This window comes from Homo sapiens, chromosome 13 (genome assembly GCF_000001405.40).
Source record: "Homo sapiens chromosome 13, GRCh38.p14 Primary Assembly".
In the NCBI taxonomy this organism is placed as follows: domain Eukaryota; kingdom Metazoa; phylum Chordata; class Mammalia; order Primates; family Hominidae; genus Homo; species Homo sapiens.
Genome location: NC_000013.11, coordinates 67,576,645 through 67,597,357, shown reverse-complemented (window position 1 = coordinate 67,597,357; position 20,713 = coordinate 67,576,645). Strand labels below are relative to the sequence as shown.

At 35.4% G+C, this 20,713-nt stretch overlaps 2 long non-coding RNA genes across 4 annotated transcripts in view; one reads left to right on the top strand and one right to left on the bottom strand.

Moving 5' to 3' along the window:
* The window catches only part of LOC105370249 (uncharacterized), a 52,794-nt gene extending 51,799 nt beyond the window's left edge, over positions 1-995 (bottom strand). For both annotated transcript variants that reach the window (XR_942046.3, XR_942047.2), the window contains exon 1: positions 960-995. This is a non-coding gene — a long non-coding RNA (uncharacterized LOC105370249). The remainder of the gene's footprint in view (positions 1-959) is intronic.
* A 149-nt stretch (positions 996-1,144) lies between these two features.
* Positions 1,145-19,755, top strand: LOC105370248 (uncharacterized). Of its 2 annotated transcripts, XR_942044.3 has the most exons (4): positions 1,169-1,362; positions 14,129-14,262; positions 16,014-16,093; positions 17,899-19,755. It is a non-coding gene; the product is annotated as an uncharacterized LOC105370248 (long non-coding RNA). The 2 variants fall into 2 exon arrangements; XR_942045.3 differs by lacking the exon at positions 14,129-14,262 and having other exon boundaries at positions 1,145-1,186.
* Positions 19,756-20,713: the final 958 nt, after the last annotated feature.

The window sequence follows — 20,713 nt, the reverse complement described above, 5'->3', positions numbered from 1 at the left end:
TTGAGAGCTATTTACTTCTTTAATTGTCCTATTGTCAGGAACGGAGAGAATTAATTTCAGATTATACATTGCCCCCTCCACATACATACATACTTCCCTGTTTCTTAGTAACTCCATGCATCCCTTTATTGCCAGGTATCCTACTAAGATATATGATGACAAATGAAATATCTACAACTAGATGTAGCCTTTCTGGTTTTTTTTCTTTGATGTTTTCCTCTTTTCGATTGAAACCAAAACTCCATTTCCTACTGCCAACAGCCTTATCCAATCTATTGTCAGTTTCTCTCCTGAACTCAACACTTGCCCCTTAACTTTAAGCACAATTAATTTCACTGGAGGCAGAGTGATCAAAACCAAACACACCTATGTGTGCATATATATATATACATATAAAATTGGAATACTGTCTATTGCTTTTCAAATATACCATCTTTCAGATGGACTACAATGCACTTGATAAGCTGAGATTTATTCAGTTAACCTTCAAAGGGTTCTACTCACACTTTTCTCAAGACTTTCTGGTCCTTCATGGTAACACACATCTCCCACTCATTCTTGAGCTTTTAGATAAATGCACATTTTCGTAGTTGTTTTTTACATGTCAGAATAGAAGCACCACTGCATGTTTACACAGAGCCTCATTGCTATTAAATAAGATTTATCACAATTTGAAATTATATTTTTGTGGGATTCTTTGATTGTTTGCTTATATTCTCTCCCCCAAAAGCATACCCTATACTGTAAGCTTTCTTAGAACAAGTAAAATGTGCGTTTTGCTCAGCATTTTATGTGCCTTGCCAGTGTCTAAAACACAGTCAACACTCAATAGCACTCACTGACAAGATACATACATCAATGCATCTATACTTAAGCTTCCAGATTAGCAATCAAAAAAATTCTCTTTGAAACGTGGGCTTTCAAAATATGATTATATTCTAGAGATATTTAGAACTCACAAAATATCCATATACTCTGCACTCCTCCCAGCCCAGTTCCCTGAATCACTGAATGAAAAAATAGCCTGGATGTCCCACTGGACTTTTGCTTTGTTTTGTTTTGTGACGGAGTCTCGCTCTGTCACCTAGGCTACAGTGCAGTGGTGTGATCTCGGATCTCTGCAAGCTCCGCCTCCCGGGTTCATGCCATTCTCCTGCCTCAGCCTCCCGAGTAGCTGGGACTACAGGTGCTCGCCACAATGCCCGGCTAATTTTTTTGTACTTTTAGAGACGGGGTTTCACCATGTTAGCCAGGATGGTCTCGATCTCCTGACCTTGTGATCCTCCTGCCTCGGCCTCCCAAAGTGCTGGGATTACAAGAGTGACCCACCGCGCCCAGCCTACCCCATTGGACTTTTAATAAGTCAGTATAAACCCTGTTGTATGAAATCGCTGACAGATGGAGGTTTATTTGTTCCTGAATGATAATTTATCTTGACAAATATTGATGTTAAAATGTAGAAAATTATTAACAAGCTTATTAATAGTCAACTATGCATAAAATTACATTCGGACTTTCTTTCTTAAAGAAATACAATATGTAGGTGTATTTTAAGTCTGTTTCAGTATCACCCATCTTTCATTTATAGATTAAAGTCATAATCTTTAAATAAATGCTAACCACTGGAAGCACTCTAAATACATTTTCTCTAATTTGAGTCAACAAACAGCACTGTGATAAAGAAGCATTACTGTCATTCAGTCACTAAATCAACTTTGCTACATTTGTTATATTCAGAGCAACAGGCTCATTTAAAATCTATATCATCACTAAAATCTACAATTTTTTTCAACAGTTATTCATGTAGTAACTGTAGTCTGACACTTTAAGAAAATTTCGTATGAATCAGTGCAAGCTCCAAATTTAACTTTCTCAAGACTATGCTATGCTGTCTTTTAAGTTGTCTATCTACCAGGGCTTACTTTTTCACTCAGGTTATTTGTGCATTATCACATTCCTTATTAAGGAGTATACTGTTTTTATTATCTAATCCTATTTTTTCTAGTATTTGGCAAATTAACATTGTAATCACTGTGCTTTTAGGAAAACCACCGAAATGCCCCTTCTTCAATTTTTATGTGTAGTGCTCATATTTGGTGTATATATGGAAGGTTATTTCTTCTCATTAACGGTTTACCTTTTTCCCTCTATGGTTACTATGGTCTTATACAATTTAAAAGTTTGCCTTAACTGGATACTTATGAAACTCCAGAACTATATACATTTAGGTAACTCGAAATTTCATCGTCCAACCTGAATTCTGAGATATCGAATTTAATCTCTACCTCCATGACTTGTTGCTTTCAATTTAGCCGACACTAAACATGGTTTAGAGGAGGCAAATGTGGGGTGCAGCCAGGTACAGATAAAGTGTCATGTTGAGTTACTGGCCCTGTGAACATTCATTTTTGAGTATTGAAGCATGGTATTTTATTTAACTAGGAAGAGGAAGAATTTTAAATTGATTCTTTAAGGTTTTTATAATGTATTCAATATGTGAACAGAATCTTTTGCTATAGTTAAATTATATTTATAATACCTTCAAATTTTTATTAAGAAAAATGTTATAACTCCAAATAATGACTGTAGGAGTTTTTAAAATGTGATTTTATGATAGATTATAGATGACTGTATAAATTAACTGTGATTTTAATTCAGAGACACATTTAGACTAAACATTCTGATATTTACTTTTAATTAGTCCCTATAACAGTCAGTAATATTTAAATTAGCTAAGTGAATGGAAAAGATGAAAGGAAAAGAATTTGAATATAAAAATGTTTAAAAGTCTACCCCACAAAGAACAATCTATATTGACATGGGAAGAATAGCTTTTTAAAATGAGAATTTATTTGTATGTGTCTTGTACACTGATACCAAATCTCAATTTTTTCATACTTTAAGTTCTAGGGTATATGTGCACACCATGCAGGTTTGTTACATATGTATACATGTGCCATGTTGGTTTGCTGCACCCATCAACTCATCATTTACATTAGGTATTTCTCCTAATGTTATCCCTCCTCCAGGCCCCCACGCCCTGACAGGCCCCAGTGTGTGATCTTCCCTTCCCTGTGTCCAAGTGTTCTCATTGTTCAATTCCCATCTATGAGTGAGAACATGCAGTGTTTGGTTTTCTGGCCTTGTGATAGTTTGCTGAGAATGATGTTTCCAGCTTCATCCATGTACCTGCAAAGGACATGAACTCATCCCTTTTTATGGCTGTGTAGTATTCCATGGTGTATATGTGCCACATTTTCTTAATCCAGTCTATCATTGATGGATGTTTGGGTTGGTTCCAAGTCTTTGCTATTGTGAATAGTGCCACAACAAACATAAGTGGGCATGTGTCTTTATAGTAGCATGATTTATAATTCTTTGGGTATATACCCAGTAATGGGATGGCTGGGTCAAATGGTATTTCTAGTTCTAGATCCTTGAGGAATTGCCACACTGTTCCACAATGGTTGAACTAGTTTACACTCTCACCAGCAGTATAAAAGCAATCCTATTTCTCCACATCCTCTCCAGCATCTGTTGTTTCCTGACTTTTTAATGATTGCCATTTTAACTAGCATAAGATGATAGCTCATTGTGGTTTTGATTTGCATTTCTCTGATGACCAGTGATGATGAGCATTTTTTCCTGTGTCTGTTGGATGCATAAATGTCTTCTTTTGAGAAGTATCTGTTCATATCCTTTGCCCACTTTTTGATGGGGTTGCTTGTTTTTTTCTTGTAAAGTTGTTTAAGTTCTTTGTACATTATGGATATTAGCCCTTTGTCAGATGGGTAGATGACAAAACTTTTCTCCCATTCTGTAGGTTGCCTGTTCACTCTGATGGTAGTTTCTTTTGCTGTGCAGAAGCTTGTTAGTTTAATTAGATTCCATTTGTCTATTTTGGCTTTTGTTGCCATTGCTTTTGGTGTTTTAGACATAAAGTCCTTGTCCATGCCTATGTTCTGAATGGTATTGCCTAGGTTTTCTTCTAGGGTTTTTATAGTTTTAAGTCTAACATTTAAGTCTTTAATCCGTCTTGAATTAATTTTTGTATAAGGTGTAAGGAAGGGATCCAGTTTCAGCTTTCTACATATGGCCTGCCAGTTTTCCCAGCACCATTTATTACATAGGGAATCCTTTCTCCATTTCTTGTTTTTGTCAGGTTTGTCAAAGATCAGATGGTTGTAGATGTGTGGTGTTATTTTGGAGGCCTCTGTTCTGTTCCATTGGTCTGTATCTCTGTTTTAGTACCAGTACCATGCTGTTTTGGTTACTGTAGCCTTGTAGTATAGTTTGAAGTCAGGTAGCGTGATGCCTCCAGCTTTGTTCTTTTGGCTTAGGATTGTCTTGGCAATGAGGGCTCTTTTTTGGTTCCATATGAACTTTAAAGTAGTTTTTTCCAATTCTGTGAAGAAAGTCATTGGTAGCTTGATGGGGATGGCATTGAATCTATAAATTACCTTGGGCAGTATGGCCATTTTCATGATATTGATTTTTCCTATCCATCAGCATGAAATGTTCTTCCATTTGGTTTGTAGTTCTCCTTGAAGAGGTCCTTCACATCTCTTGTAAGTTGGATTCCTAGGTATTTTATTCTCTTTGTAGTGATTGTGAATGGGAGTTCACTCATGATTTTGCTCTCTGTCTGTTATTGGTATTTAGGAATGCTTGTGATTTTTCCATGTTGATTTTGTATCCTGAGACTTTGCTGAAGTTGCTTATCAGCTTAAGGAGATTTTGGGCTGAGACAATGGGGTTTTCTAAATATACAATCATGTCATCTGCAAACAGAGACAATTTGACTTCCTCTTTTCCTAATTGAATACCCTTTATTTCTTTCTCTTGCCTGATTGCCCTGGCCAGAACTTCCAACACTACGTTGAATAGGAGTGGTGAGAGAGGGCATCCCTGTCTTGTCCCAGTTTTCAAAGGGAATGTTTACAGTTATTGTTCATATGGCGGTGGGTTTGTCATAAATAGCTCTTATTATTTTGAGATACGTTCCATCAATACCTAGTTTATTGAGAGGTTTTAGCATGGAGTGCTGTTGAATTTTGTTGAAGGCCTTTTCTGCATCTATTCAAATAATCATGTGCTTTTTGTCATTGGTTCTATTTATGTGATGGATTACGTTTATTGATTTGCGTATGTTGAACCAGCCTTGGATCCCAAGAATGAAGCTGACTTGATCTTGGTGAATAAGATGTGCTGCTGGATTCAGTTTCCCAGTATTTTATTGAGGATTTTCACATTGATGTTCATCAGGGATATTGATCTAAAATTCTCTTTGTTGTGTCTGTGCCAGGCTTTGGTGTCAGAATGATGCTGGCATCATAAAATGAGCTAAGAAGGATTCCTTCTTTTTCTATTGATTGGAATAGTTTCAGAAGGAATGGTACCATCTCCTCTTTGTACCTCTGGTAGAATTCAGCTGTGAATCTGTCTGGTCCTAGACTTTTTTTGGTTGGTAGGCTATTAATTATTGCCACAATTTCAGAGCCTATTTTTGGTCTATTCAGAGATTCAACTTCTTCCTGCTTTAGTCTTGGGAGGGTATATGTGTCCAGGAATTTACCCATTTCTTCTAGATTTTCAAGTTTTTTCATGTAGAAATGTTTATAGTATTCTCTGATGGTAGTTTGTATTTCTGTGGGGTTGATAGTGATATCCCCTTTATTATTTTTTTATTGTGTCTATTTGATTCTTCTCTCTTTTCTTCTTTATTAGTCTTGCTAGCAGTCTATCAATTTTGTTGATTTTCTCAAAAACCAAGCTCCTGGATTCATTGATTTTTGAAGGGTTTTTTGTGTCCCCATCTCTTTCAGTTCTGCTCTGATCTTAGTTATTTCTTGCCTTCTGCTAGCTTTTGAATTTGTTTGCTCTTGCTTCTCTAGTTCTTTTAATTGTGATGTTAGGGTGTCGATTTTAGATCTTTCCTACTTTCTCTTGTGGGCATTTAGTGTTACAAATTTCCCTCTACACACTTCTTTAAATGTGTCCCAGAGATTCTGGTACGTTGTGTCTTTGTTCTCATTGGTTTCAAAGAACATCTTTATTTCTGTCTTAATTTCGTTATGTACCCAGTAGTCATTCAGGAGTAGATTGTTCAGTTTCCATGTAGTTGTGCGATTTTGAGTGAGTTTCTTAATCCTGAGTTCTAATTTGATTGCACTGTGGTCTAAGAGACAGTTTGTTGTGATTTTTGTTCTTTTACATTTGCTGAGGAGTGCTTTACTTCCAATTATGTGGTTAATTTTGGAATAAGTGCACTGTCGTCCTGAGAAGAATGTATATTCTGTTGATTTTGGGTAGGCAGTTCTGTAGTTGTCTATTAGGTCCATTTGGTGCAGAGCTGAGTTCAAGTCCTGGATATCCTTGTTAACCTTCTGTCTCATTGATCTGTCTAATATTGACAGTGGGGTGTTAAAGTCTCCCATTATTATTGTGTGGGAGTCTAGGTCTCATTGTAGGTCTCTAAGGAATTGCTTTATGAAACTGAGTGCTTCTGTATTGGGTGCATATATATTTAGGATAGTTAGTTCTTCTTGTTGAATTGATCCCTTTACCATTATGTAATGGCCTTCTTTGTCTCTTTTGGTCTTTGCTGGTTTAAAGTCTGTTTTATCAGAGACTAGGATTGCAACCCCTGCTATTTTTTTTTTTTTTTTTTGGCTTTACATTTGCTTGGTAGATCTTCCTCCATCCCTTTATTTTGAGCCTATGTGTGTCTCTGCACATGAGACAGATCTCCTGAATACAGCACACTGATGGGTCTTGACTCTTTATCCAATTTGCCAGTCTGTGTCTTTTAATTGGAGCATTCAGCCCATTTACATTTAAGGTTAATATTGTTATGTGTGAATTTGATCCTATCATTACAATGTTAGCTGGTTGTTTTTCCTGTTAGTTGATGTGGTTTCTTCCTAGCATCAGTGGTCTTTACAATTTGGCATGTTTTTGCAGTGGCTGGTACTGGTTTTTCCTTTCCATGTTTAGTGCTTCCTTCAGGAGCTCCTGTAGGGCAGGCCTGGTGGTGACAAAATCTCTCAGCATTTGCTTGTCTGTAAGGGATGTTATTTCTCCTTCACTTATGAAGCTTAGTTTGGGGGGATATGTAATTCTGGGTTGAAAATTCTTTTCTTTGAGAATGTTGAATATTGGCCCCCACTCTCTTCTGGCTTGTAGAGTTTCTGCCAAGAGATCTGCTGTTAGTCTGATGGGCTTCCCTTTGTGGGTAACCTGACCTTTCTCTCTGGCTGCCCTTAATATTTTTTCCTTCCTTTCAACCTTGGTGAATCTGACAATTATGTTTCTTGGGGTTGCTCTTCTCGAGGAGTATCTTTGTGGTGTTCTCTGTATTTTCTGAATCTGAATGTTGGCCTGCCTTGCTAGATTGGGGAAGTTCTCCTGGATAATATACTGAAGAGTGTTTTCCAGCTTGGTTCTATCCTCCCCATCACTTTCAGATACACCAATCCAACGTACATTTGGTCTTTTAGCATAGTTCCATATTTCTTGGAGGCTTTGTTCATTTCTTTTTACTGTTTCTTTTCTCTAAACTTCTCTTCTCACTTCATTTCATTCATTTGAACTTCAATCACTGATACCCTTTCTTCCACTTGATCAAATCAGCTACTGAAGCTTGTGCATGAGTCATGTAGTTCTCGTACCATGGTTTTCAGCTCCATCCGGTCATTTAAGGTCTTCTCTACACTGTTTATTCTAGTTAGCCATTCATCTAATCTTTTTTCAAGGTTTTTAGCTTTCTTGCGATGGGTTCGAACATCTTCCTTTAGCTTGGACGTTTGTTATACCAACTTTCTGAAGTCTACTTCTGTCAACTCATCAAAGTCATTCTCCATCCAGCTTTGTTCCTTTGCTGGTGAGGAGCTATGATCCTTTGAAGAAAGAGGCACTCTGGTGTTTAAAATTTTCAGCTTTTCTGCTCTGGTTTCTCCCCATCTTTGTGGTTTTATCTACCTTTGGTCTTTGATGTTGGTGACCTAGAGATGAGGTTTTGGTGTGGATGTCCCTTTTGTTGATGTTGATGGTATTCCTTTCTGTTTGTTAGTTTTCCTTCTAACAGTCAGGTCCCCCAGCTGCAGCTCTGTTGGAGTTTGCTGGAGACCCACTCCAGACCCTGTTTTCCTGGGTGTCACCAGCAGAGGCTGCAGAATAGCAAATATTGCAGAACAGCAAATATTACAGAACAGCAAATATTTCTACCTGATCCTTCCTCTGGAAGCTTCGTCCCAGAGGGGCATCCACCCATATGAGGTGTCTGCCTACCCCTACTGGGAAGTGTGTCCCAGTTAGGCTACACGGAGGTCAGGAACCCATTTGAGGAGGCAGTCTGTCCATTCTCAGAGTTCGAACACCGTGCTGGGAGAACAACTGCTCTCTTCAGAGCTGTCAGACAAGGACGTTAAAGTCTGCAGAAGTTTCTGCTGCCTTTCATTCAGCTATGCCCTGCCCACAGAGGTGGAGTCTATGGAAGCAGTATGCCTTGCTGAGCTGCGGTGGGCTCCACCCAGTTTGAGCTTCCTGGCCATGTTGTTTACCTACTCAAGTCTCAGTAATGGCAGACACTCCTCCCCCCACCAGGCTGCAGCCTTGCAGGTCAATCTCAGATTGCTGCACTATCAGTTAGCAAGGCTCCATGGGTGTGGGAACTGCAGAGCCAGGCATGGGAGAGAATCTCCTGTTCTGCTGCTTTCTAAGACTGTGGGAAAAGTGCAGTATTTGGGCAGAAGTGTCCCGATTTTCCAGGTACAGACTGTCATGGCTTCCCTTGGCTAGGAAAGGGAAATCCCCCAACCCCTTCTGCTTCCTGGGTGAGGCGACACCCTGCCCTGCTTCGGCTTACCCTCCGTGGACTGCACCCACTGTCCACCCAGTCCCAATGAAACGAACCAGGTACCTCAGTTGGAAAAGCAAAAATCACCCATCTTCTGCATAGATCACCCTGGGAGTTGCAGAACAGAGCTGTTCCTATTCGGCCATCTTGGAATGGAACTCCCCAAATCTCAATATTAAAAAAAGAAAAGATTTAAACAATTACTAAACTCTTTTAAAAAAGTGTTCTTTTTAACACTTTTATAGGGCTGTTAAAGTCAGGAAAAAAATCTTATACAAACATTTTATTTATGAAAAAGATATTTCATGTCTTATAAATGATTGTTATTATGATTTGAGTTCAAAGCAAAACTAAAGCTTCAAATATTTATCTATTGCATCATTTGGCCTATTTATATAAAACTAAGTCAGAAATAATATAGCATAACATAAAATCTAAGTATTTCCTGAGGGAATTTCTCCTCTTTTCTAAAGACGAAGTTGTCTTATTAGTGATTTCTGTTTCTTCATTTGTTCAGCCTTAGGAACTTTAATAAGAAGAAGATTGATGAAAATAGCAGTAAGACAATGAAAATAATATAAGTGAATCTTGTGAAGCGTATTTTTTGTCCCACTAAGTATCAGTAAATTATTGTGCTGTGTCTCATGACCTTTATACTGTTACTAAGCTGTTATAAACTTGCTTTGCTTCTAGTTTGCCTTCACCCACAAAATATCTGATATAAATACTAGAGAATAAAGAAATTTGAAATATTCTTTGCCACATTTTATAGGAATTACGTTTTTATAATATATTACCATAAAAAGTAGATTATGAAAAGTTTAATTTTCCAGTTTACAAATATGCCATTTGATCTAAAACATCTGCTTTTTAATAACAACCTACATATTTTGGCTTTCTTTTTCCAAAAATCTATTGCAAAGTAGTCTTTACGTTTCAGCACATTCTTTGGTAATTTTCTACAATTCAGGAAATAGTTATTTTATTACAGTTACCTCAGAAAACACTGAATACTTTCTGTCCACAAGACCTTTGTACCAGAAACTGTGTTTCTATAAATATTAATTTCTTCATCTTGTTGCAGTTTTTAGAGGAAAGGCTTTTAGCCATTTAGTATAATAGTAGCTATGAGCTTGTCATATGTGACCTTTATTATGTTGAAGTATATTCCTTTTATGCCCAATTTGTTGAGTTTTTATCATGAAAGGATGCTGAGATTTCTCAATTTTTTTTCTGCATCTATTGAGATATTCAAATTTATTCTGTTTGCATGTTGTATTACATTTATTGATTTGTATATGTTGAACCATCCTTGCATCCATAGGATAAACCTCAATTAATCATGATTTATTATCTTTTATATTTGTTGAATTTGGTTTGCTAATATTTTGTGGAGGAGTTTTGCATCTATGTTCATCATGTCTACTGGTCTGTAGTTTATTTTTTTGTTGTGTCCTTCTTTGTTGGAACATTACAACAATGTCCACTTTCATCACTCTTATTCAAGGTAATATTGGAAGTCCTAGGCAAAGCAATCAGGCAAGAGAATGAAACACAAGATATCTAAATTGACTAAGAGAAAGTCAGATTGTCCCTCTTTGCATATGCCATGATCTTATATACAGGAAAACATGAATAGTCCACTGAGAACTTTTAGAGGCTTGGCACAGTGGCTCAGGCCTGTAATCCCAGCACTTTGGGAGGCTGAGGCGCATGGTTCACTTGAGCCCTGGAGTTTGAGACCAGCCTGGGCAACATGGTGAAACCCTGTCTCTACTAAAAATATGAAAATTAGCTGCTGGGCATGGTGGAGGGTGCTTGTAGTCCCAGCTACTCAGGAGGCTGAGGTGAGAGGGTCATTTGAGTCCAGGAGGCGGAGGTTGCTGCAGACCAATATCACACCACTGCACTCCAGTCTAGGTGACAGAGTGAGACCCTGTCAAAAACAAACAAAAAGCCAAAAAATCTGATAGAACTGATAAACAAATTTAGTAAAGTTGCAAAATAAAAAAAGAGCATACAAAAATCAGTAATGAGCTAGCTGAAAGAGAAATCAAGACATTAATTCCACTTACAGTAGCTACAGAAAAATACCTAGAAATATATTTAACCAAGGAAGTAAAAGACCACTACAATGAAAACTATAAAACACTGGTGAAAGAAATGGAAGAGGATACAAATAAATGGAAAGATACCTTATACTCATGGACTGAAATAACTAAATATTGTTAAAATGGCAACACTACCAAAAGCAACCTACAGACTCAATGCAATTCTATAAAAATGTCAATGATGTTCTTCATAGAAAAAAAAAATCTCCAAATGCATATGGAATTGCCAGATTCCAAGTAGCCAAAGCAATTTTGAGCAAAAGGAACAAAGCTGGAGGCATTATACTACCTTACTTCAAGGTATACTACCAAGTTGTAGTTACAAAAACAACACAGATTTGGTATAAAACAGACACACAGACCAATGGAATGGAACAGAGAACCCAGTCGTAAGTCCACATATTTACAGTCAACTGAATTTCAATGAAAATGCCAAGAACATACCTAGAGGGAAAGGATACCCTCTTCAAAAAACGGTACCAGGAAAACTGGATATCTATATACATAAAAATAATAGTAGACTAGCTTTCACCATATACAAAGATCAATCCTAAATGAATTAAATACATAAATGGAAGACTTAAAGCTATAGAAGTACTAGAAGAAAACATAGGGGAAGTGCTTCAGAACATTAGTCTAAAGAAAGATTTTATGACTAAAATTTCAAAAGCATAGGCAACAAAAACAAAAATAGACAAATGAGATTACATTAAACTCAAAAACTTCTTCACAGAGGGAACAACTGACATAGTGAAGAGACAGCCTGTTAAGTTGAAAAAGACATTTGCAACTATCTATCTATAATAATAAGGGATTAACATCCAGAATATACAAGGAACTCAAACAACAAAAAATTAAATAATCCCATTAAAAAGTGAGCAAAGGATCTGAATACCTATTTCTCAAAAGATGTCATAGAAATGGCCAAAAGACTATAGGATATAAAAGCTCAACATTACTAATCAGGGAAATGCAAATCAAAATAACAGTAAGATAGCATTTTACTCTAGTTAGAATGGCTATTATCAAAAAGACAGAAAAAAAAAAACAAATGCTGGTGAGGATGCAGAGAAAAGGGAACTCTAATAAACTTTTGGTGGGAATGTAAATTAATACAGCCTTTATAGAGTTTTCTCAAAGAACTAAAAATAGAACTACCATACAATCTAACAGTACCATTACTGGGTATTTATCCAAAGGAAAGGAAACCAATATATCAAAGGGGTATGTGCACCACCATGTTTATTGCAGAATTATTTACAATAGCCAAGATATGGATCAATCTAAGTGTCCATCACCAGATGAACAGATAAAGAAATTGTGGTGTGTGTACGCAATGGAATACCATTCAGCTATAAAAAAGAATGAAAACTTGTAACTTGCAGCACATGGATGAAACTGGAGGTCATTATGTTAGTTGAAATAAGTCAGGCACATGGCACATGTATACATATGTAACAAACCTGCACGTTGTGCACATGTACCCTAAAACTTAAAGTATAATAATAAAGAAAAAATAAAATAAAATACATTAAATAAATTAAATAAAATTTAAAACCCCAGAAACAAACAAACAAACAAAAGAAATAAGTCGGGCACAGAAAAACAAATCACATATTCTCCCTCATATGTGGAAGCTAAAAAAAATTACTTTGTGCAGGTAGAGAGTAGAATGATAGTAACCATATGCTGGGAAGGGTGAGAGGGAGGATAAAGAGAGGCTGGATAATGGGTACAAACATACAGTTAGTTAGAAGAAATAAGTTCTAGTGTTTGATAGCTCAGTAGGGTGACTATAGTTAAGAATAATTTATTGTATATTTCAAAATAGCTAGAAGATTTGAAATGTTCTAAAACAAAGAAATAATAAATGTTTGTGGTGATAGATATCCTAAATGCCCTGATTTGATTGTTGCACATTGTATGCATGTATCAAAATACCATGTGTATCTCATGCCATGTATAATTATTATGTATCAATAAAGATACATACATACATACATTAATGAGCTCTCATTATCAAAGAGCTTACAATCTGAAAGGAGACTATTATTATACTGTTTTAAAAATAGGAATAGAGATATGTACATAAATAAAAACCTAAAATATAAATATGGGCATAGATATAGTATAGGTGCAAATCATGATAAGTATCTTGGATAGTTGCAAAAATAATTATCATCAGATAATCCAAAGAGAGAAAATGGTACTGACTTTATAAAATAAGTGAATTTGACCAACAGATAAATTCGTTTCCAAAGATATAGGTAGTGTTTAGACCAACTTTGTAAAATATTTTCAAACTTTATCAGTTTATTACAGTTTCCCAAGCAATAGCTGATGTTATAACTGCAGAAATCCTTCTGTTCCATTGATTGCTAAGAAGACAGGCTAAAATAAATATTATCTTCACTAAATAATGGTGATAATTATAATGATTGTGATGATGGTAGTGGTGATGATAACAATAGTAATGGCTAAAATTTATTGAGCCCTTACGCTATACTAGGGAGAAATTATTTTTAACACACACAATCTCAATTCACAAAGCGAAGTGATAGGGCTAATTTTATGAGTAATATTTTCAGCATATTTCAAATGTGGAAACTGAAGTATACAGGGTTTTTTGTTTGTTTGTTTTGTTTTGTTTTGTTTTTTGAGACGGAGTCTTGCTCTGTTACCCAGGCTGGAATGCAATGGCACAATCTCAGCTCACTGCAACCTCTGCCTCCCAGGTTCAAGCGATTCTCCCGCCTCAGCCTCCCAAGTAGCTGGGATTACCGGCACCCGCCATCATGCCCGGCTAATTTTTGTATTTTTGTGGAGATGGGGTTTCACCATGTTGGCTAGGCTGGTCATGAACTCCTGATCTTAGATGACCCACCCACCTCGGCCTCCCAAAGTGCTGGGATTACAGGCATGAGCCGCCTCACCTAGCCTTAGTATACAGGGGTTTAAAATCTTGTACAAGTTTAGATGATAAGTTATAAGATCAGATTTTAAACAATGGTCTATAGAAATATAGAGTCCAATCCTTTAATAGCAGTTGTGTTTGCATTATAGGAATACTAGTAAGTCATCAAGCTGTATGACAAAATTTCTAAAGAATACAATAGGAAATTTTTGCCTTAAAGTATGTGCAAACATTGTTTTCTTTTAGTTTTTTGTTTGATTGCCATTAATATACAAAGCCTAAATATGGTCTGATTACCATAAGTCATCTGCTTGGAGCGAGGGCAAGGAATCAATCTCATTTGCAGCCATCATCATGAATCTGCTATACACTCAGCACAGGTAATGAAATCACCATGCTATTACAGGTTTTCTACTTGCTTCTATTGGGAAATCATCTTCAATTGGACACCACTTTGAGTTATATAATTTAGAAGATGAAAAACAAATGTTCTCAAAGTTTGAGATGTTTTCCTAGGTGATAAAGTGGCATAGACTCCATTATAGCTCAAGCCACCTAATGTAGATTTCAATGTATATGTATAGCAAAATTATTGACACATTATCTAAAACCCAATAAATTGTAACTTCTAGTTGTAATTTATAAATATTTCCATTTCCATAAGTTTTCTCATGTAATGAAGCAGAAATGGTTGTAGTGCCTTTGTCACTTTTAACTGCCAGGACTTTAGTAGGTCAGACACCAGCTTAGTCATATGCAGGATTGAAATATTATCACTAGTTATCTTACCTCAAAGTGAGAATCCAATTAAAAAATGTACTCATTATTTACATAAAATTTGTAAACTCAAAGCACATACTTAATAATCTCAAGATGAAATAGCCTCTGTCTTGAAACTCTGAGATTTGTCTTAGGCTATTATTACAACCCCCCACCAAAAAAAAGATTTTTAAGTTCTTGCTATCATGATTACACAAATTCCCAGCTAAATCTCTGATGAAAGAGTCCTTTAGCTCTCAATTGTTCCTATTTCTGAAAGCTGCATACAGCTTCAAGTTAGAGCCCTCCCAAAACCAACCATTTATATACTTTTCTACTTCATGGGTCCTTTTAAGCCTAAGGGAAAAAATAAAACTTTCTTAAAGGGAAAACACTTAATGTTGATTGATCTTTCCCATCAACATAAATAACATGTTGTCTATAATTTAAAGACAGGGAAAGAGGAAATTAGTTAAATTTTAATGTAGCAGCTTTTTTCTAATTTCAGTCTTCAGTGTATCAAGATTTTGTTTAGTAGTTGAGAATTCCCAGCTTATTTCTAATATAATAACAACAAAAATAATAATTTTAAAAACTGACCTTTGTGAAATATTATATCCCAGGTAGTCAAATACTTTACATAAATTATCATATTTCTTTTACCCCAGTGCTATAAGGAAACATGTGCTATTATTATCATGCCGAGCTTACAGATGAGAATACTGATAGTTAATAATTCCCGTATATATCACAAAGCCACAATTTTATTTTATGAGAATAAGATTATATACATTTTTATACTGAAGTTCAGAGTTTTCCCTCACTCATAAGTCAGAACTTTTTTCTTTGCCAAATTTAATGATTAGACAACATTTTTATATTGTATTGTTTTTGCCTTCATTAAAAATTTTTATTGTAAAAAAAGTTTAATCTTTAAAATAAGCTTTGAGTTAAGCAACAGCAGGTTTTTTTTTTTTGTCAAATTGTAACTGTTCTTGGATCTTCAATTACTGTTTTAACAAACTTGTTGTTGTAACCTTAGATGTATGTCATAGGAAATGGATTGTGCAGTTGCAGACAGGTGCAATTTACTGAGATCCTCAGAGTTAGAGTATATCTGATGGGAGTTTTAAAAATTTCTCCTTATGAGAACTAAAAATACAACTACCATTTAACCCAGCAATCCCATCACTGGGTATTTAGGAAATAAATTGTTCTACCAAAAAAACACACACACCTGTATGTTCATTGCAGCACTATTCACAATAGCAAAGGCATGGAATCAACCTAGGTGTCCATCAGCAGTGGATTGGATAAAGAAAAGTAGACTACTATGCAGCCATAAAAAGTAATGAAGTCATATTTTTTGCAGCAACATGAATGCAGCTAGATGCCATTATCTGAAGTGAACTAATAGAGAAATAGAAAACCAAATACCACGTGTTCTTACCTGTAAGTGGGAGCTAAACACTGAGTACAAATGAACATTAAAATGGAAACAGACACTGGGGACTACAAGAAAGGGGAAGGGCAGGAGGGCAAGGGCTGAAAAACTACCTATTGGATACTGTGCTCACTAACTGGGTGATGAGTTCAGTAATAATCCAAGCCTCAGTATCATGTAATATACCTTTATAAGAAACCTTCACCTGTACTCCCTGAATCTGAAATAAAAGTTACAAACAATTCTTCTTATGAAAATTAGCTATTTTCTATATAATTCCAAATAGTTCAAAGAAAATTGTTCTAATTTTAGTACATTAAATTTAAGAATAGTTTTGAGCTGACCGTTCTATAGTCACATGTAATGAATGTCTTCGATAACTTCATTTTCAAACATATTTTTATTGATTCTAAATGATATTGTGATTCTTTGTCTTATTAAATGTGAGCTCTAGTGATCTCAAACTAGGTAAAGTTTTTCTGAAATCGTTCTGTGTCACAAATAATGAGACTAAATTAGGCTCAGAATTATTCTTTCAACATGAAAATATTTTCTCTTGACGATTTTGTTTTGTTTTGCTTTAAAAATTTTCCTTTCTGTCTTGTAAATGTTTTGTTTGAGCCAAGACTTGAGACATATATGCCAATGAATTTTAATGGGTTGGGAAAATATTATTTCTATCAATATCCTTTAACATAATGTCAAAATGAACACATTTTAAGTTTAATGACAACTGAGCAAATAGATTGCACAAGTGCACTAGAGGAAATACAAAATAAATATTGCAAGCTGAGAAATTAAATCAGATTAAACCATACAAAAACATGAGTCTGCATAGATGATGAGATGGAAGGACATTGAAATTGATAAATATGTATATTACTATGAAAACTACAAATTTATTTTTTCTTTATTTAGAAAGTGACTATATTAAAGAAAAAGTGTTACTCTGTATTTCAGAGTTTATAAGTAAAGTGGATTTGGCATATATATATGCCAAAAAAACTTGTGGTTTGTAAACAAAATTATCATGTTTCAAGTTCTGATATTTCTTATGAGGTAATGTAATGCACAAAATATTAACACTAAGCCAAGTATGATAGCTTAAGGCTGCATATTGTACACACTAAAGAAATGTGTGTGTCTATTTGATTGGTCAAATATAATGCACAATAAAAATAGAATCACAAAATACCAAAATACAATGCACAATAAAAATAGCTAAACAAAGAAGAATTGAAATAGAGTACTAAAAATATTTGAATTTTTAAAAAAATTTTAATTGGCACATAGTAACTGTACATATTTAAGGAGGCCAGTATGGTGTTTCTGTATATGTTTACAATGCATAATGATTAATTGGGATAATTAACATGATTTCTATCACCTCAAATGTTTTTCATTTATTTGTATTGAGAACATTCGTTTCTATTTCAGAATATAAAGGCACACTTGTTTTATTGTTATTTGCTTCATTGTGCTTCATAGATATTGCATTATTTACAAACCAAATGTTTGTGGTAGTCCTGAGTCCAGTAAGTCTGCAGGTACCATTTGTTCGACAGCATGTGCAAACTTCATGTGACCATGTCACACTTTGGTAATTTCTACAATAATTCAAACTTTTTCATTATAATATATCTGTTATTATAATCTGTGATCAGTGGTCTTTGATTACTGTTGCAATTGTTTTGGAGTGCCACAAACCATGTCTATATAAGATGACAAACATAACTGATAAATGTTGTATGCATTCTGACTGCTTCACTGATTGGATATTTCTCTCTCTCTCTTTCTCTCACTCTCTCCTTAGGCCTCCCTATTCTCTGAGACACAGCAATATGGAAATTAGGCAAATCAATGACTGTACAATGGCCTCTAAGTGTCCAAGTTAAAGGAAGAATTACATGTCTCTCCCTATAAATCAAAAACTAGAAATGATTAAGTTTAGTGAGGATGGCATGTCAAAAATCAAGACAGACTGGAAGCTACAACTCTTGTGCAAACATTTGCTGTATTGTGAATGCAAAATAAAATTCTTGAAGAAAATTAAAAGTGTTACTCCAGAAAACAACTAAGTGATAAGAATGTGAAACAACCTTTTTAATGATATAAAGAAAGTCTTAGTGGTCTAGCTAGAAGAGCAAAGCAGGCATGACATGTCTTTAAGCCAAAGCTTAGTGTAGAGCATGGCCCTAACGCTCATCCATTCTGTGAAGGTTAAGAGAGGTAAAGAAGCTGCACAAGAAAAGTTGGAAGCTAGAATAAGTTAATTTATGAGGTTTAAGGAAAGACGCTCTTTCCCTAACATAGATGTACAAGTAAAACCAGTAAGTGCTGATTTAGAAGCTGCAGCAAATTATCCAGAAGCTCCAGCTAATATAATTCATGAAGGTGCTTTCAGTAAACAACAGATTTTCAGTCTAGATGAAACAGTTTTCTATTGGAAAAAGATGTCGTTTAGGACTTTTATTGCTAAAGAGGAGAAGTCAATGCCCAGCTTCAAAGCTGCAAAGGACAGGCTGACTCTCCTGACAGTAACTAACGCAGCTCGTGATTTTAAGTTGAAGCCAATTCTCATTTACCACCTTAACATTCTAGGGTGCTTAAGCATTATGCTAAATCTATTCTGCCTGTGCTGTATCAATGGAAAAACAAAGCCTGGATGGCAGCACAACTGTTTAGATCATGGTTTACTAAATATTTTAAGCTCATTGTTGAGACCTACTGCTCAGGAAAAAACAAACAAAAAAAGATTCGTTTCTAAATGCCCATTGACAATGGCACTTGGTTACTCAAGAACCGTGCTGAAGATGTAAAGAGATTAATGTTGTTTCCATGCCTGCTAACATAACATCCACTCTGCAGCCTGTGGTTCAAAGAGTAATTTTGACTTTCAAGTCATATTATTTAAGAAATATATTTCATAAGCCTGTAGTTACCATAGATAGTGATTTCTCTGATAAATCTGGGGGAAAAAAACTTTGAAAATCTTCTCGAGAAGATTCACCCTTTCAGATGCCATTAAGAGCATGTGTATGTCATAGGAGATCAAAATACCAACATTCAGAGGAGTTTGGAAGAAGTTGATTCCAACCCGCATGATGACTTTGGGGGCTCTCAAGACTTAAGTGAAGAAAGTAGCAGCAGATGTGGTAGAAATAGCAAGAGAACTAGAATTAGAGATGGAGTGTGAAGATGTGACTGAATTGTTGCAATCTCATGGTAGAACTTGAACAAATGAGGAGTTGCTTCTCATAGATAAGCAAAGAAAATGATTATTTGAGATAGGATCTACTCCTAGTGAAGATGCTGTGAACATTGTTGAAATGACAACAAAGAATTTAGAATATTCCATAAAGTTAGTTGATAAAGGAGTGGCAGAGTTTGAAAGGACTGACTTCAATTTTGCAGAAAGTTCTGTGTCTAAGATGCTAGCAAACAGCATAGCATGCTACAAAGAAATCTCTCATGAAAGGAAGAATGAATTCTTGTGCAAACTTTATAGTTGTCTTATTTTAGTAAATTGTCTCAGCCACCCCAGCCTTTGGCAACCACTACCTTGATCAGTCAGCAGACATCAACATGGAGAAAAGACAGTTTACCCACAACTCTCTGGAAGCTAAGATGATTGTTAGTATTTTTTAGCAATAAAGTGCTTTTTAATGAAGATATGTAAGTTGTCTTTTTAGACATAATGGTATTGCACACTTAATTAACTATACTGTAATGTAAACAAAACTTTTACACACACTGGGAAAACAAAAAATTCATATGACTCACTTTCTTGTGATAATTGCTTTTTTGCAGTGGTCTGAAATAGCATCCATAATATATTAAACGTATGCCTGTGTCATGTGATTTTGACCACATACTCCTGAGCACAGAAATTGGTTCAAATATAATCATTTGACTCAAGTAGAGACGGTGGGTCAGAATGAATTTCGTTTTCTTAGACTTTGGTGCAAATAAACCCTTTCTACTTCAAAAGGATCATCTTACCTTGGAAATGCATAATTATTTAAGCCAATTATGGCTTCTTGAAGCCACCAGGGAAAGGCCTGTGTGAGAAATGATCTAGCACAAAGGAGGCCAAGTTGTGGAAAAAAAACACATATTTTCTTTTTTTTTCTTTTTTTTTGCTGTAGAGTTATATATATTTGTGTCTGTGTCTGTGTATACACACACAAAGACACACACAGACAGAGAGAGACCTAAGAATTGTACATATTTATGGGGTACGCTGTGATATTTTGTTACATGTACACAACGCATAATGATCAAATCAGGTAATTAGTATATCCACTGCCTCAAATCTTTGTTTCTTTGTGTTCTTAACATTCAAAACCCTCTCTTCAAGATACTTGAAAAAATACAATAAATTATTGTTTACTTAGTAACCTTATGGTATTAACACCATAGAACACTAGAAAGTATTCGTCTTATCTAGCTGTAATGTTGTATATTAATTAACCTCTCTCTGTTGCCCCTAGTCCCTTACCCTGTCCAGCCTCTAGTGACCATGTTTTACTCTATACTACTAAAAGATCAAGCATTTTAGTTTCCACATATGAGTGAGAACATGTAGTATTTATCTTTCTGTGCCTGGCTTATTTCATTTAACATAA